Source organism: Homo sapiens, chromosome 2 (assembly GCF_000001405.40).
Source record: "Homo sapiens chromosome 2, GRCh38.p14 Primary Assembly".
NCBI lineage: Eukaryota > Metazoa > Chordata > Mammalia > Primates > Hominidae > Homo > Homo sapiens.
Window position 1 is genome coordinate 195,505,711 of NC_000002.12, and position 18,910 is coordinate 195,524,620.

General features: G+C 42.9%; 1 pseudogene, besides 3 other annotated features; it reads left to right on the plus strand.

Annotated features, from left to right (window-relative positions):
- Positions 8,326–8,432, plus strand: RNU6-169P (RNA, U6 small nuclear 169, pseudogene; annotated as a pseudogene).
- Positions 9,682–10,182: an enhancer, noted in NCBI's record as "H3K27ac-H3K4me1 hESC enhancer chr2:196380116-196380616 (GRCh37/hg19 assembly coordinates)". NCBI's record gives its function as "activates a minimal SCP1, AML or CMV promoter by ChIP-STARR-seq in naive H9 embryonic stem cells {active_cell/tissue: H9 hESC(naive)}" and the evidence as "EXISTENCE:reporter gene assay evidence [ECO:0000049][PMID:30033119]".
- Positions 17,239–17,740: an enhancer, noted in NCBI's record as "NANOG-H3K4me1 hESC enhancer chr2:196387673-196388174 (GRCh37/hg19 assembly coordinates)". NCBI's record gives its function as "activates a minimal SCP1, AML or CMV promoter by ChIP-STARR-seq in primed H9 embryonic stem cells {active_cell/tissue: H9 hESC(primed)}" and the evidence as "EXISTENCE:reporter gene assay evidence [ECO:0000049][PMID:30033119]".
- Positions 17,741–18,240: an enhancer, noted in NCBI's record as "NANOG-H3K4me1 hESC enhancer chr2:196388175-196388674 (GRCh37/hg19 assembly coordinates)". NCBI's record gives its function as "activates a minimal SCP1, AML or CMV promoter by ChIP-STARR-seq in naive and primed H9 embryonic stem cells {active_cell/tissue: H9 hESC(naive and primed)}" and the evidence as "EXISTENCE:reporter gene assay evidence [ECO:0000049][PMID:30033119]".

Sequence of the window (18,910 nt, forward strand, 5' to 3'; positions counted from 1 at the left end):
TTAAAATATCTTGCCATCAGATAAAAGAACAAAAATTTCCTATGTCCTTCACTGATCAACAGGTGAGAAGCTATTGCACTAATGATACCACTAATGAAACTAACCACTAACAATTTGAGAAAGTTCAGTAAAATGAATGATTGCTGCGGCTGCTGAAACATACATCAGGTTTTATACTTAATCAATTTCCCTTCTGGGTATGAGTGTCATATTTTGAGAACTGAGATTCACCTAAGTATGGGGTTATAATGGCAATGGTTTCGGGTTTGTTTTTTTTTTTAACTTTAACAACTGTGTCAGAATAATAATTGTCAGAATGTTGCCAAAAGTGTTGATGAGTGAAAAATAGTTTTAGGTATTTGCTGGTGGATAAATTTAACCTGTACCAGTTTATAGAGGAGTAAAATCTCTGGTTTCTTATGATCAATGATACAATGTGTTTTACTTTCAAAGGAAAGATTTATTAAATCATTTTTCCAGTGTATAAAGATGGCTGATGTTCTTTATTTTATTGTAAATACAATTTTCATCACATAAAAAATATATGCTAAACTCATTTAAGAATCATTCTTTTTCGGACAGGTGCAGTGGCTCACTCCTGTAATCCCAGCACTTTGGAAGGCCGAGGCAGGCAGATCACCTGAGGTCGGGAGTTCAAGACCAGCCTGACCAACATGGAGAAACCCCGTCTCTACTAAAAATAAAAAATTAGCCGGGCGTGGTGGTGCATGCCTGTAATCCCAGCTACTGGGGAGGCTGAGGCAGGAGAATTGCTTGAACCCAGGAGGCGGAGGTTGCGGTGAACTGAGATCGCACCATTGCACTCAGGCCTGGGCCACAAGAACGAAACTCCATCTCAAAAAAAAAAAAAAAAAGAATCATTCTTTTTCAATAAGATAAATAATACATTTGTAACATGAAAAAATTAATATGGTCTTCACAGAAGAGTTCAATAAGGCCATGTTCTTTATTTTCTATAATTAAATTAAACCACTTTATGAGACCCAATTTCACTGATGGAGGAAGAGCAACGTGCATTTAAATTTGCTGATTAAACCTAATTCACATTTTCTTGCTTAAAACACTCTCTCACAGAAATATTCAGTCAATTCAAAATATACCTTCCTATGAGGGCATTTTTCTTTCCCTCCTCCTTTTTCCTAAGATAGAGTCTGCATTCAAAGTAAGCTTTTCAAAGCTTCATAGCAAGAAGCAAGACCTCTAGTTTATTTAACCTTGAAAAGACCAACAAGCAATTTTTCCTTTGCGTAGGAACTGTGCTTTTGATAGCATTGTCTCTATCTACAATGTTCTTCTATTTTGCTGCAAGATTTCTTGTGATTTTTCTCCTTTGAAATGTGTCTGGTTTTTTTTAATATCATTGCAAAGATAATGGCTACAAGAGGCATCATGTTGTAGATTCATTTACATCTCCTCAATCGCAAGCTCCATATTTTAAACAAACATCTCCTATATATCTCTCTTAATCTAATCTCTTTTAATTTGGTTTTTCTGTGCATTTTCTAGCTGTGTTTGTCGTGGTGCTCCCACCTTCTTTGTTGCCAGTGCCAATGCCAGGGTCAGATTGCTCTAAACTTTCCTTATTACCATGAATATTTACATTGGCTTTAAGCATCCTATTTTTGTCCACTGCTCTATGTTCCTGAAACCGCCCAATGGGTTCTCCTTGCCTACTGCCTAGACAGGGCCAATTTATCAAGACAAGGGACTTGCAATAGAGAAAGAGTTTAATTCATGAAGAGCTGGCTGTGTGAGAGACTGGAGTTTTATTATTACTCAAATCAGTCTCCCAGAGAATTCGGGAACTGGAGTTTTTAAGGATAATTTGGTGGGTAGCAGGCCAGTGACTCAAGAGCACAGATTGGTTGGCTTAGAGATGAACTGATAGGGAGTTGAAGCTGTCCTTTTATGCTGACTCAGCTCCTGGGTGGGGGCCACAGGACTGGTTGTCAGGTCCCAGTGGGGACATCCCATTGTCAGAAATGCAAAAACCTGAAAAGACATCTCAAAGGCCAATTTTAGGTTCTACAATAGTCACGTTATCTTCAAGAGTAATTGGGGAAGTTGCAAATCTTATGACTTCCAGAATAATGGCTGGTAATTATTTAGAATTCAAGCTCCTCTCATCCTAACTTGGTAGCCTTTCAATAGTTTTACAAGAACAGTTTAATTTGGGGGAAGGGCTATTGTTTAAACTATAAACTTAATTTCTTCCAAAGTTAGCTCTGCCCACGCCCAGGAATGAGCAAAGATAGCCAACATGTGAGCTACAGACAAGATGGAGTCAGCCATGTCAAATTTCTCTGTTTGACAGTTTCCTGCTGTAATTTCCTCAGTTATAATTTTTGCAAAGGTGGTTTCATTCCCAATTGTCTTTATAATTTTCTGTTATTATATGATTAAAATGTAAACTGACAGGAAAATTATCTAAAACTTCCATACAGTATCACTACTTCTGTATTATCAGAGAATACACTGCAGGAAGTCGAGCCAAGCATACCAGTGATCACATGTTTACAGACTAATCTTCCTTTGGCTGTAGTTCTAGAAGAAAGTTGATCAGATATGTGGACTGTTTGTGTATTTGTGTAGCAAACATTTTCAAAAAATAGTAGTACTGACTCATAAACTGGTAAACATGTGTTTCTCAAAAAAATAAAATAAAATAACTCTTGGTGAGCCTTCCAGGACTCATGGAGGAGGTTCATTTTTCAGCTAACCTGCCTCATAGACTAGAATCTGCTATGTGGACCTGCAACATTAACCAATGTAGTAGACACTGTCAGGCTGGAGCCAAGGAAGGCCTTTTTGCCCCAGCTTTTTCAGCTGTCAGGTCCTTCAGGGTCAGGCACAGCTGCGAAGAGCCTCCTTGTCTAGGTCAATGCCCTTCTCAAGAAGGTCTACATCCAATGACTGATACATGGAGGCTGGGTCATTTCAACCCCATGCAGAGCCACACTGACAGAGCATCTTTAGTTCCAAGTTTCTCCATGGAGTCTGCAGAGGCTATCACAGGGCCTGCTTTGCCACTTGACTTCTCTTCCAGCTCAATCCTGCATCCTTTCCCTTCTTGCCACAGTAAACTTCCTACATGCTAATCTCAGTCTTGGTGACTGATTTCTGGAGAACTCAATCTGCTGCCACATAAGCTCACTTTCCTGAAATATTAGTCCTGTTTCTTACAGTACTGATACCGTCATAACAAACAATTATCTGATTTTCTAGTCATTCACTAAACATAAAATATTACATAAACCATCTAACTTAGTGGTTCTAAATGAACCACTGGAGAGATTTTTTTTTTTTTTTAGTATTAGTATCCAGACCAATTAACTATGGGAACAGGCCCCAGGAATCAGTATTTTTTAAGAGCTTTCCACGGGGTTCTAAAGTGTAACCAGGATTGAGAACACTCAATGCTTTCAGGAAAAAATATACAACTCACCAAGGAGGGAGAAAAGGATTCTGCTGCATTTGCCTATGCTTACGTATGCTAAAACATGTTCCCACCACCTAATATGCTAGCCAGTTTGCACACACACCATCACCTCTGCTTTTGCTCATGTTCCAGTGGGTGAACTATTCGTGCTTCAAGGCCAGCTTCTCCATCTGTGCAATGGATCCCATCTTCTCAAGGACCTCTCTCTAGACAATGCCCCCTTCTGTTCTGCACCATTACTTTTTCTTTCTCCACTGTATTGTTTCCGTTAGCATGCAAACAGCCAGAGATGTCTCCATTCTTTACAAAAAGAAAAATCTCAACCCCAAATTCTTCTCCAGCTACTTCCAGTCTTCCAGCTACTGCCTCATGCCTCTCTCCTTTTTCAGGCAAATGTCTTCAAAAAGTTAATTGTATATGCTTTCACCATTTCCTCACCTTCCATTCTCTCTTGAGCCTACTTTAATCAGGCTTTTATCCCAACCCTCCAACCAAAGATGCTTTTATCAAGGGTGCAGTGACATCGACATTGCCAGACTTAGTCCACATATTGCTAAATCTGTCACAAGCCTTTGACACAGTCCATCACTTCCTCCTTGGACACTGTCTCAAGTGTCTGGTGTCCTGAATAGCACACCCTCTTGAGATTCTCCTCCTGCCCTAATGGTCTCAGCCCTCCTTGCTGGCTCCTCATCTTCCCAGTCTCTACACATCACTTTGCTGAATGAGGGGATTATCCCAGTTTTATGGCTTTAAATATCATCTCAATGCTTGGGATACTCAAATGTATATTCCCAATTCAGACTGTCCCCCGAATTCCAAGCTTATTTACCCCAACTATCTCTTTCAATCTCCACTTGGATATCTAATTATCATGTCACACTTAGATCATGCCAATTCTTCTCAGTCTCGGTAAATAACACCACCAACCTAGTTGCTCTTGCCAATATCTTTTTTTTTTCTTTTTTCTTTTTGGAGTCAGGGTCTCACTCTGTCACTCAGGCTGGAGTGCAGTGGTGCGATCATGTCTCACTGCAGCCTCAACCTCCTCGGGCTCAGGTGATCCTCCCACCTCACACTCCCAAGTACCTGGGACTACAGGCACATGCCACCATGCCCAGCTAATTTTAGTATTTTTTGTAAAGACAGGGTTTTGTCAGGTTGCCCAGGCTGGTTTCGAACTCCTGAATTCAAGTCATCCACCTACCTTGGCCTCCCTGAGTTCTGGGATTACAGGCATGAGTCATTGTGCTTGGCTCCAAAATCTTTAAAGCCTATCTAAAATGTTCTCTTTGATTTCATGCCACAAAATTTGTTAGCTCCACCTTTAAAATATATTTAGATTAAGACCTCTCTTCATCACCACCCTGCTGTCACCCTAACAAAGCAACCATCATCTCTCAAAATAAATCCTAATGTCCTTAGGGCTTCCTAGGCCTACTCTTTATGCCCCAGGCTACCTATCCAGGTGAATCTCTTCCAGTTCTCCTCCATGAATTTCTGTCTCACAGAATGCATGTACCATTGCACTTTGTAACGTCAGTCTCTCCCACCAGACAATGATCAGATTCTTAGTTGTCTCTTTATACCCATTCACAGTGCACTGACTGAGCACAAATTTAAGGTTTCAATAAATGGTAAGTGAATGAATAATGAATGAATGAATGCTACAATATTGATTATAATGGATAAAGAGATATATTGACCGGCTTGACAGAAAACTCGAGGTTATTATTAGCTACATTCTCTGTGCATGCTAACTGGGAAGAATTTCACACTTGCTTTGATGTATTCATTTTTCTCCTGGATTCAGTTGGTAAAATTAAATTGTCTTTCTTCTTTGCAGAGGCTGATTAATTTAAACAAAAGGGCATGTGTAGTGACCCTCACAGCATACTAACCAACTTAGTTGACTCCAATAATTCAATATATACAAAGAAAGCCTGTTAAAACAAGGCAGGAGCTAATGAAGCCAACAAAATCAGTTCTAAAAGTTTAGAAGGTCCCTAATAATCTATATATCGTTAAATTATTTCAAAATTTTTTATAAAGAGATTACGTAGCTGTTACACATTCCTGGATAACTTTAGTTGCAGAATATAATCTCTCAAAAGTTCTGGCCATTTTTATTTTTTATGTAATTCTATTTGATATTAGTTCAGAGAGGCCCAAAATTAAAATTAATGCGTATTTCCCTAATGAGAGTGACTTCATGATTTGCATTCACATTAATTTTCAACAGCCTTACTTAAAATTGTTTTGAATTAGAGTTTTGTAATTAGGACTTAACATTTAAATCACATTCAGGAGACTGTGCATATGGGTAAACAGACTGCCAGAATAAAGTATGAGCTAACAAAATAGTAATCTATTACTTAAAGGCATTTGGTAAGTCATATTGTATTTATCCTTTTACATCTTCTTACAAAAATATTCTCTTAAGTTTCTTAGCCACAGTTCATCCCCCTCATTTGACCCACACTTGCTCACAGTGATGTCACCTTCACCATTCCATCCCAGACCTTCAAACCTTTGTGAAATCCTGTGAGCCAATGACACAAGGGGGAAATTCAGTAAAATACTAACACGTTTATGTTCCTGCTAACCTGAGGTCCGCTCTCTTTTCCCCAAATCATAGCGTAGCCTCCAATAATGCATTTCCCAACTTAAAATATCACCTTCCCACTATTCTATTTAGAAACTGGCAAAAACTATAAGATCAGGTGTTCACACATTTGCTTTTTAAATTTGAGCACCATTTTATCGGTTTTCTTGCCTGACAACCCTCCCATGTTCCACTCATGTCTAGTTTTTGATATCCTAGCATTGTCTGTTTACCTCTAGTGCAAGGTTTCACAACCTCAACACTACGGATATTTGGGGCCTGGTGATTGTTTGTTGTGGGGGGCTGTTGTGTGCATCATAGGATGGTTAGTATCCCTGAGTTGTGCCCACCAGAGATGACATTAACAACTCCTCCCACCCTCACCCTGGTTGTAACAACCAAAAATGTTTTCAGATGTTATCAAATGTCTTCTGGGGACATAGGCGGAAGGACAAATTGCCCCAGTTGAGAACTGCAGCTCTGTGATGACTGAAGTTAAAGGTTTTTCCAAATGACACAACTGAGATTCAAATTCCAAGATCACTGGGATTCAAATCTACATCATCTTAATCCACAATGCATTGTCTTTCCCATAAAATGAGAAATCTTGCACTAGATAGATGCCAATTTAGCCATGGTGTGCTCCTGGAGATCATGAGTGTAATGACGTGTGATGGTTAATTGTATGTGTCAATTTGGAGGGTATTTTTGGATGAGATTAACATTTAAATCAGTAAACTTTGAGTAAAGCAGATTGCCTTCTGTAATGTGAGTGGGCCTCATTCAATCAGTTGAAAGCCTAAGAAGAACGAAATGATTGGCCACCCCCTCAAGAAAGAAATTCTAGCAGACTGTCTTGGGATGGAAATGCACCATCAGCTCTTCTGGGTCTAAAGTCTTCTGGCCCACACTGAAGATTTTGGACTTGCCAGCCTCCATTAATTGTATGCACCAATTCTTATATAATGTATACACATGCTATTGATTCAATGTCTCTGGAGAATCCTAATACATGCCATAATTGAAATAACAATATGTATGTTTTCTTCCCCTTCACACACTGTTCCCCGAGTCAACAGAGTCACCCACACTGCCTTGAGAAGGAAAAGCAATGTTTACTTTTGACTCCTGAATGTTGTCAAATAATCAAAAGGGAAGGTTTAAGGGAATTAACACCCATAGTATCTATGATAACAGAAGAATTATAAAGAAAATAGAGAAGGTGAGAGGTGTGGGGCAAGAGAAAATGGTCTGGTCCTGGTGGGTCCCATGAGAAGTTGCAGAACTAATACTGAGAGCCCAAAGAATACTGGGGGGATGGCCAGTGCTTGGGAGCCAGGCCAAGGCCTGGAGAAGAACAAGTGAGGGAGCACCTCGCATCACCTGGATGATGGAGAACCACACTGACTGCCATCTTGTAACTACAGTGTGGCCATCAGCCGCCCATGTGTTGCCTGTCAATTGTGCTGCAAGACTTTTCAGAGGCCCATTCGAACTGCTCAATGTAGAAGCAACCCCTCTTTTTCAATGGCCAGGGCACTTATAAGCCTCTTCGCAAACAGAGTTTTGGGTTCCTGGGTACTCAGAGATAAGGAAGGGAAAGTCGCTGCTTTGGTGTAATCATGAATGCTCATGCTGTGCCTCCTCATGCTGAGAACGACATCCAGTGATAAAGAAAGGTCATGAAACGGGAAGTATGGTCTTTACTACGTTGAGTAGCTAAATATAACACAGGGAAACGCAGGATCACCTTTAGTATGGCTTTTTAAGTTCTGAGAAATCAAACTTTCCTATAGCTGCCTTGTTTTAAATCATAAATGGCTTTTCTGACTGGGTGCTCTTTTTCAAAAGAATAGAGCTCCACTTACATGCAGACAACATACCTATATTATGATATCTATAGGTTTATAGTTTCTTAGCTTATTTGTATAAATAAAATTATTTCAGCTGGGTGTGGTGGCTCACGCCCATAATCCCAGCACTTTCGGAGGCCAAGGCGGGAGGATCACCTGAGTCAGGAGGTTGAGACCAGCCTGGCCAACATGACGAAACCCCATCTCTACTAAAAATACAAAAAATTAGCACACCTGTGTAATCCCAGCTACTCGGGGGCTGAGACAAGAGAATCGCTTGAACCCACGGGGCGGAAGTTGTGGTGAGCCGAGATCACACCACTGAACTCCAGCCTGGGCAACAGAGTGAGACTCTGTCTCAAAAAAAATTTTTTTTAATTATTTCTATCAATAATATATCATATGAAGTGCTCCCTTTGGCAACATATATACTAAAATTGGAACAATACAGAGAAGATTAGCATGGCCCCTGAGCAAGGATGACACGCAAACTGATGAAGTGTTCCAAAAACTTTTTTTAACAATAATAATAATATATAACATAAAAATGGCTAAACATAATTCACCAATTTTGAATTACGTGTTTGGAATAATCTGACTTAAAATATAGATTAATCTACCCTATGAGCAGACCCAGAGATTCCACTCATAAGGATGTACCCATGAGAAATGTGTATACGTGTCCACCAAAAGACATGTACAAGAAAGCACACGGCAGCTGTACTCATTAAGGTTCAAGACTGGAAACAACCCAAATAACCATCAGTGAGAGACTGAATAAACAAATATAGGTTTAGGCATACAATAGAATGCTATACAGTGCTTTAAAAGGAATGAGCTGTTTATACACCATGAGTGAATTTCAAGAACAGTGTGTTGAGTGAAGGAAGCCAGACATAAAAGTGCACACTGCATGATTCCATTTACATGAATTTCAACAACAGACACGACTAATCAATGATGGTGTAAGTCAGAAGAGTGGATGACTCTGAATGCGGCAAGTATTGACTAGAAACAGGCATTAAGCTTGCAGGAGCATCCACTAAAGTGATGAAAATATTCTATATCTCAATCTGGGTGGTGGTTCTCAGGTATTTACACATGAAAACTTCATCAAGCTATATACTTAATAATAGCACATATACTGAACGTATGTAATATTTTGGGGTTTTTTTAAGTTATATATAGAGACAAAGAGCTGTGCACAAAATTCACCTTGAGGAGCATCAGGGGAATAAAAAATAAAGGCAGTCATGCCCTGGTCTAAAGTAAATGAAACTGAGGTCCCTGCTGATTTAAAGAGTCATGTTACTACATGTTCACATAATGTTATCAGAAAAAAATATTCAAATATAGAGGCTAAATGGAAAATTATAAAGGTGGTTCTTCGAAACAGCTATTTGCTGTCCAGCCGCCTCTCACATAGTGTGTTAATTTTCTTTTTTTTTTTTTTCTTTGAGATGGAGTTTCGCTCTTGTTGCCCAGGCGGGAGTGCAATGGCATGATCTCAGCTCATCGAAACCTCCGCCCCCTGGGTTTAAGCGACTCTCCTGCCTCAGCCTCCCCAGTAGCTGGGATCACAGGCATGTGCCACCACACCCAGCTAATTTTGTATTTTTAGTAGAGACGGGGTTTCTCCGTGTTGGTCAGGCTGGTTTCGAACTCCCGACCTCAGGTGATCTGCCCACCTTGGCCTCCCAAAGTGCTGGGATTACAGGCGTGAGCCACCACGCCCAGCCATATTTTCTACTGCCCATCATAACAGCTTACCACAAACTTAGTGGCATGAAACAACAAAAATGTCTTACCTCTCAGTTTCTATAGATCAGAATGCCAGGTTGGCTGAGCTGGCTTCTCTGCTCCTAATATTGAGAGGTGACAGCATGCTGGCAGCCCTGGCAGCCCTCGCTCGCTCTCCGTGCCTCCTGGGCCTTGGCGCCCACTCTGGCTGCGCTTGAGGAGCCCTTCAGCCCACCGCTGCACTATGGGAGCCCCTTTCAGGCTGGCCAAGGCCGGAGCCAGCTCCCTCAGCTTGCGGGGAGGTGTGGAAGGAGAGGCGGGGGCGGCAACTGGGGCTGCGCGGGGCGCTTGCAGGCCAGCGCGAGTTCCGGGTGGGCGTGGACTCGGCAGCCCAGCACTCGGAGCCGCCGGCCTGCCTACAAGCCCCGGTAGCGACGGGCTTAGCACCTGGGCCAGCAGCTGCTGTGCTCGACTTCTTGCTGGGCCTTAGCTGCCGCCCTGCAGGGCTCCAGACCTGCAGCCTGCCATGCCTGAGCCTCCCCTCCTCCTGTGGGCTCCTGTGCAGCCCGAGCCTCCCCAACCAGCGCCACTCCCTGCTCCAAGGCGCCCAGTCCCATCAACCGCCCAAGGGCTGAGGAGTGCAGGTGCAGGGCAGGGGACTGGCAGGCAGCTCCACCTGCGGCCTGGTGCGAGATCCACTGGGTGAAGCCAGCTGAGCTCCTGAGTCTAGTGGGGACTTGGAGACCTTTATATCTAGCTGAGGGATTGTAAATACACCAATCAGCACTCTGTGTCTAGCTCAGGGTTTGTGGATGCACCAATCAGCCCTCTGTGACTAGCTAATCTGCTGGGGACCTGGAGAATCTTTATGTCTAGCTAAGGGATTGTGAATGCACCAATCGGCACTCTGTATCTAGCTCAAGGTTTGTAAATGCACCAATCAGCACTCTGTGTCTAGCTCAGGGTTTGTAAATATACCAATGGACACTCTGTATCTAGCTAATCTAGTGGGGAGGTGGAGAACTTTCCTGTCTAACTCAAGGTTTGTAAATGCACCAATCAGCACCCTGTCAAAACGGACCAATCAGCTCTAAAACAGACCAATCGGCTCTCTGTAAAATGGACCAATCAGCAGGATGTGGGTGGGGCCAGATAAGAGAATAAAAACAGGCTGCCAGAGCCAGCAGTGACAACCGGCTGGGGTCCCCTTCCACTTCCACACTGTGGAAGCTTTGTTCATTGCAATAAATCTTGCTACTGCTCACTCTTTGGGTCCACACTGCCTTTATGAGCTGTAACACTTACCGCGAAGGTCTGCAGCTTCACTCCTGAAGCCAGCGAGACCACGACCCCCACCAGGAGGAACGAACAACTCCAGACGCGCTGCTTTAAGAGCTGCAACACTCACCGCGAAGGTCTGCAGCTTCACTCCTGAGCCAGCGAGACCACAAACCCACCAGAAGGAAGAAACTCCAAACACATCCGAACATCAGAAGGAACAAACTCCAGACACGCCACCTTTAAGAACTGTAAAACTCACGGCAAGGGTCCATGGCTTTGTTCTTGAAGTCAGTGAGACCAAGAACCCACCAATTCCGGACACAGTATCACAAAGCCAAAATCAAGGTGTCAGCCCTCTGGACTCTTATCAAGAGGCTGTGGAAAGACTCTTTCTAGGCCCACTCAGGTTACTGGCAGAATTCATTTCCTTGGGATTGTAGCTCCTTATTTCTGTGTTGGGTATCAGCTAGGGACCACCCTTCAGCTCTGAAAGGTCTGTATCTCTTCCTTGCTAATGGCCTCTTGTATCTCAGAGCCAGCAATGACATGTCAAATTCTTCTCCTACTTATAGTCTCTCTGACTTCTTTTTCTGCTGCATCTCTCTGCTGCCTCTGGCCACAGAAAATCTCTGCTTTTAACCACTCATGTGATTAGATTGGGCCCACATGGATAATCCAGTATAATTTCCCTATTCTAATTACATTTGCAAAGAATTTTCACAGGTTCCAAAAATTAAGGTATATACATCTTTGGGGTCCATTTTCCTGCCTATTACACATGTACAGCTCCATTTGGTTATCCTGGACATGTGATAGCAGGAATTTATTTATTTATTGGTGCTTAATGTCCTTCTTGAACAAAAGAAAGAACAACTAATACATGTAGAGTCTGGTCATATTTAAATGATGGCATCCTCATCTGAGCTATTAGGACATTCTCTGAAATATCTTTCCTTTTGCTACACTACTTTAACAATTCTGATCTTGAAGAAGCCTATTCCTAGAGAATAGCTGTTCCCCACAGAGCTACATAATTTTCTCCTGCTGAAGGGTATGTTTCAGGCTGGGTACAGTGGCTCAGGTTGATAATCCCAACACTGGGAGGCCAAGACAGGAGGATCACTTGAGCTCAAGAGTTGGAGCCCAACATACTGCTATCTCATCTCTACTAAAAGTAAAAAAATAAAATAGCCAGCCATCGTGGTGCACACCTGTAGTACCAGCTACTCAGGAGGCTAAGGTGGGAGAATCACTTGAGCCCAGGAGATCGTGGCTGCAGTGAACTGTAATCAAGGCACTGCACTCCAGCCTGAGCAACAGAGACCCTGTTCAAAAAAGAGAGAAGGTTTCAGACAAAGGTAAACCTTGAAGGCAAAGGATCAGCTGTACATAGGTAGCCATCCTCTCCTATCTTCCCTAGGAAGGGGCAGAGGCCCTGCCCCTACAGCTCCCTATGCTGCCACTCAGGGACAGCAGCTAGGCTGGCATGGATTCTCCTGGAGAAGAAAAGTAAAGAGAAAAGAAAAGTGGCTTCCTTTTTTGAGACATGGTCTCACTCTTTTGCCCAGGCTGGAGTGCAGTGGCGCAATCAGGATCAAGGCTCACTGTAGCCTCAACCTCCCCGGCTCAAGCAATCCTCCCATCTCAGCCTCCCAAGTAGCTGGGACCACAGGCAAGTGCCACTATGCCCAGTTAGGTTTTTCTTATTTTTTTGTAGAGATGCGATCTCACTGTGTTGGCCGGGCTGGAAGTGGCTTACTTTAATGCAACGATATATAGAAGGTGACATATGACTCCTGGTCATCTGAACTGTCATAATTCTGAGTATGATCATAGAGTGGCACCAGAATCCACCTTAGTTATAACGTAAGTAGACATTGCCTTGGCCACATTTCTTTTTCCCTTTCTTCAAGCCCTTTGGTATCTTTACTTTGCATAGCACATCAGAGTTTACAAACTTTTTGCTGCACATATATTCTCATTTGGGCCTTCAAATAATCCTGTTAGGTAAACCAGGCAAGCATGATTATCCCATATTTCATATGTGATACTTGAGGTTCAAGAGTGTTAAGTGACTCCAACAAGTTTACAGGTAGTGAGTAGCAGACCAGACTATGTATTTAGCAGTCTTTCCATAAATAGCCTGACAACAACACCTGTACCAGCTTCCAGAACTCTCTTGCTCTTATCCCTACCCCCTTATCAAATCCCACCCTCTGAGCCTCATTCACAATCAAGCGTGAGTAACTGATTGTTCGCAGGAGTGTCTGTATTTTAATATCAGAGGAAGCAAATTCAAAGGATAAAATTGCAAATATTAACAATCAAATCAGAGAGAAATGGGTTGGAATGAGAGGGTGCACAGGAAGAATAAGCTCTTCCCAACACTCCTAAAATGACATCCAAAAGGTTCCTCCAAATGTACTTGTTAAACTCAGTGCCAGACTCCCACAAAAGTTAAACAAGTTAAAGCAGCTTTAGACAAACTTTATTCCAAAAATGAAGTCAACACATACTAAGGGAAGGTGGGGAATTTTAAAAGAATTGGAACAAGGTTGTTATGAGGATAGAATGACAGGTGCCAAAAGAGAAAAAGGAAATAGATAATTAAAATTATCACATCGTTATGTTAAATCAGATGTATAATGTTCCATAAAGAAATGGAGAAATTAGGCCAGGCGCGGTGGCTCACGCCTGTAATCCCAGTACTTTGGGAGGCCAAGGTGGATGGATCACCTGAGGTCAGGAGTTCGAGACCAGCCTGCCCAACACGGTGAAACCCTGTCTCTACTAAAAATAAAAAAAATTAGCTGGGCATGGTGGCAGGCGCCTGTAATCCCAGCTGCTCAGGAGGCTGAGGCAGGAGAATCACTTGAAATCAAGAGGCAGAGGTTGCAGTGGGTCAAGATCACACCACTGCACTCCAGCCTGGGTGACAGAGTGAGACTCCGTCTCAAAAAAAAAAAGAAACTTTGACTCCGCAACTCCTTATCCTAACCCAGACACTCCCTTTTATTGACTTCAGGTCTTTAGATAAATTTTTTCAACCAATTGCCAATCAGAAAATCTTTGGATCCACCTGTGACCTGGAAGCCCCCAACTCAAGTTGTCTTGCCTTTCCACAAAACCCAATGTACATTTTACATACATTGATTGATGTCTTACGTCTCCTGAAAATGTATAAAAAACAAGGTATATCCTGACCACCTTGGGCACATGTTCTCAGGACCTCCAAAGGCTGTGTCACAGCCAGTCCTTAGCCCTGGCAAAATAAACCTTTAAAGTGAATGAAGGCCAGGCATGGTGTAATTCCATGCCTGTAATTCCAGCCCTTTGGAAGGCTGATGCAGGAGAACTGCATGAGCCCAGGAGTTTGAGACAAGCCTAGGCAATATAGGGAGACCTCTTCTCTACAAAAAATTGAAAAATTATCTGAGAACATGTGGTGGCGCACACCTGTAGTCCCAGCTACTCGGGAGGCTGAGGTGGGAGAATCACTTAAGCCCAGGAAGCAGAGGTTGCAGTAAACTGAGATTGTACCGCTGCACTCCAGACTGAGTGGCAGAGCAAGAACCTGTCTCAAAAACGTAAGTAAATTGATTAAGATCTGTCTCAGATACTTTTTGGTTTATAATACACTACCCATAAATTATGGTTATGTATTTCTCTGTTTCAGAGGCCAAGGCGGGAGGATCACTTGAGATCAGGAGTTCGAGACCAGCCTGGCCAACATCGTGAAACCCCGTCTCTACCAAAAATATAAAATAAAAAAAAATTAGCTGGGTGTGGTGATGCAAGCCTGTAATCCCAGCTACTCAGGAGGCTGAGGCAGGAGAATTGCTTGAACCCAGGAGGTGGAGGTTGCAGTGAGCTGAAATCGTGCCACTGCACTCCAGCCTGGGCGACACAGCAAGACTCTGACTCAAAAAAAAAAAAACAAAAAAAAAAGAGAACATAGTCAATCTAGGGAATTGAGAGTAGCCGCTTTCAAAAAAAAAAAAAAAAAACAGACAGCAAATATACAAATATACCAAGTATAGAAAGGGCATGAGACAGAGTAAGGTCAGGGCTTGGCTTCAGCTCCCCACCCCACCACCCCCGCTGGTGGAACATTCTTTCATACATTCCTGCTGATCACAAAATCCACATCACCACCTCGCTGACGTTACACATGCTAACCCTAAGGCTTTAGTCATATAAAGAAAATAGCCACTCTCCTGTGCTCTCATAATGTTTACCTATGCCTTTTACTTAAAGAATTCCAGGAACTGGCCTTAGGAAACCTAAATATCAAACCAAAGTGCAGAATGTCAAACCTTGGGAAAGAATGATTTGTAAGCAGCCTTTTTGCCGCTGGCCAGACCACCAGGTGGCCCATTACTCAAGATAACCATCGGGACCAGACATATGGACCTGCATACCCTAACCCCCACATGCTTCTCCCAGCCCAGCCTGCATACCTTACCCCTGTGTCAATTCCCCATGCTTTGTCTGATTAAAAAGTCTCTACTAGCTTTTTGGGGAGCCAGCTTGAGGATCCTCATACCTCACCTCCACTGTCTCCCTTGCCCTTGAGCACAAGCCCCAAAATAAAAGCCTTGTCTGGGAAATCTGCTTGGCCCTGTGTTAAGTTTCATTACATGGGGAGCTAAGAAGCATGTGACCAGCATCTATGGTCACATCCAACAACCCAACAGAAAGGTGGTTCAAGATGGTGAATGAATCAGAATTCCCAAGAGAACTGCCCGTGTACCCACTCCTTTCTGTAAAGAGATGAAGCTCCTGGATAAGTCAATGAATGAAGAGAGGATGAAAATAAGGCTGAGCGAAGTAAGATAGCACACTAAGATGAGAGACAACTTTCTACCAAACTTCATTGACATTGGGGAGAAATAAGAATGCGCTGGGGGACAGACAAGGTAGCGGTGAGGAAGGAGAGGAAAAAAGCAGCAATTTTATTCTCTTTATTTATAGAAGACAGACTCCCCATTCCGTCCTTGAGCCTTATCCAGACTCTCAAGCTGGGGCTCTCAAGTAGGAATAAAGTGAAAGCAGAGCACTGTCTCCTCCTTGTCACTGAGGATGACAGCTGATTACATGGGGAATACTTGCTAGAATTTGATTTGGAGCCAGTGATTTGACGCTTTCTAGAGGTGAATTTCCCGGCTTAAGATTGATGGCAATGCTTAAGAAGGAGTGCCACCTTATCACAAAACACATCTGAGAATTAGTATTCACCTCTCCACTCTAATAAGGAAACCTAAATATTTCACATTTTTAATGTATAATGGGTATATGCTAGTCTAGAAAAGAAAGTAGTTAAAAGTTATTGATACTGACACATATAACTCCATTTAAGTTATTCAGATATGTTTTTAAATGTCCTTAAATAATCATATGACAGACATCTTCAAACAATACGTGGGTAACTAATGACTGTGGTTTAAAATGAAATTACTATTCCAACTCCAGGATTCCATTGGCCTTTCCAGTTCCAAATGCAAATCTACTGTTCATAATCCTAGCAGTGATGACAGAATAGAAATGACTTTAAAATTAGTAAGTACGATATGAAAAATACATTAATGATATTTTATTAACATAAAAAGCAGTGGTCCATCATAAGCCTCTGAGCTCTGCCATCTTCAAGCCCACCTTCAGGCCCACCTTCAAGATCCTCACATCTGGTAAGAAGAAAATCAGCAAATATCTCCATTCCCCCACCACAGAGAACTAGGCATTGCATATTGCACATGTATACACAAAATTCCAGTTTGTTCTTAGATTTCGAAATTGTCAGGGACACTTTCATTTTATGCTTGTTTTTCATCTTGAACAAAAAGGAAACAGGGAAATAAAAGGATCACCTTTTTAAAAATATATTCCAAATTTTTATAGATGGTAAAACCAATAACAAAAATTTTAATTAATTTTAAGTTTTGTTATGTCTGAAGAAAGCTAAGTTCAATTTCTGAACCATCGTTTCTCTTCTATGCCAGTCATGCTCTCTGTCCTCTCATAATTACCCAAATATGTTTAATGATTTTGACAACCCAAAGGTTGACATCTTAATTGGCTAATGAAACAGGATGGAGCAGGACAGTCTGTTTCTTTTAACAATGAATGGCTGGGAAACACATCCCAGGAATCTGCCAATTACTGTTAAGCAGAACCAAGTTTTAGTCTTACTTGAGAGGCTGTCACAAACTGATCTGTTAGAAGGCAAGTTTTTTGCTTTAAGTCCAAGGGCGGGCATATTCTGTTTGCATAGTTTTCTTTATCATCAAAGAAAAACAACAACATAGTGCTTGAATCAACAGAGTTCTTTTAGGTCCATTTAAAGTAAAACTCACGGTGGAGGAGCCAAGATGGTCGAATAGGAACAGCTCCGGTCTACAGCTCCCAGCGTAAGCGACTCAGAAGACAGGTGATTTCTGCATTTCCATCTGAGGTACCGGGTTCATCTCACTAGGGAGTGCCAGACAGTGGGTGCAGGACAGTGGATGCAGCACACTGTGCACCAGCCAAAGCAGGGCGAGGCATTGCCTCCCTCGGGAAGCGCAAGGGGTCAGGGAGTTCCCTTTCCTGGTCAAGGAAAGGGGTGACAGACAGCACCTGGAAAATCGGGCCACTCCCACCCGAATACTGCGCTTTTCCAACAGGCTCAGGAAACTGCCTACCAGGAGATTATATCCCACACCTGGCTCAGAGTCCTACGCCCATGGAGTCTCGATGATTGCTAGCACAGCAGTCTGAGATCAAACTGCAAGGCGGCAGCAAGGCTGGGGGAGGGGCGCCCGCCATTGCCCAGGCTCGCTTAGGTAAACAAAGCAGCAGGGAAGCTCGAACTGAGTGGAGCCCACCACAGCTTGAGGAGGCCTGCCTGCCTCTGTAGGCTCCACCTCTGGGGGCAGGGCACAGACAAACAAAAAGACAGCAGTAACCTCTGCAGACTTACATGTCCCTGTCAGACAGCTTTAAAGAGAGCAGTGGTTCTCCCAGCATGCAGCTGGAGATCTGAGAACCGGCAGACTGCCTCCTCAAGTGGGTCCCTGACCTGTGACCCCCGAGCAGCCTAATTGGGAGGCACAGCCCAGTAGGGGCAGACTGACACCTCACACGGCCGGGTACTCCTCTGAGACAAAACTTCCAGAGGAACAATCAGACAGCAGCATTCGCGGATCACGTAAATCCACGGTTCTGCAGACACCACTGCTGATACCCAGGCAAACAGGGTCCGGAGTGGACCTCTAGCAAACTCCAACAGACCTGCAGCTGAGGGTCCTGTCTGTTAGAAGGAAAACTAACAAACACAAAGGACATCCACACCAAAAACCCATCTGTACATCACCATCATCAAAGATCAAAAGTAGATAAAACCACAAAGATGGGGAAAAAACAGAGCAGAAAAACTGGAAACTCTAAAAAGCAGAGCGCCTTTCCTCCTCCAAAGGAACGCAGTTCCTCACCAGCAACGGAACAAAGCTGGACGGAGAATGACTTTCACGAGTTGAGAGAAGGCTTCAGATGATCAAACTACTTCGAGCTGCAGGAGGAAATTCAAACCAAAGGCAAAGAAGTTGAAAACTTTGAAAAAAATTTAGACGAATGTGTAACTAGAATAACCAATACAGAGAAGTGCTTAAAGGAGCTGATGGAGCTGAAAGCCAAGGCTCGAGAACTACGTGAAGAATGCAGAAGCCTCAGGAGCCGATGCGATCAACTGGAAGAAAGGGTATCAGTGATGGAAGATGAAATGAATGAAATGAAGAGAGAAAGGAAGTTTAGAGAAAAAAGAATAAAAAGAAACAAAGCCTCCAAGAAATATGGGACTATGTGAAAAGACCAAATCTACGTCTGATTGGTGTACCTGAAAGTGACAGGGAGAATGGAACCAAGTTGGAAAACACTCTGCAGGATATTTCCAGGAGAACTTCCCCAATCTAGCAAGGCAGGCCAACATTCAGATTC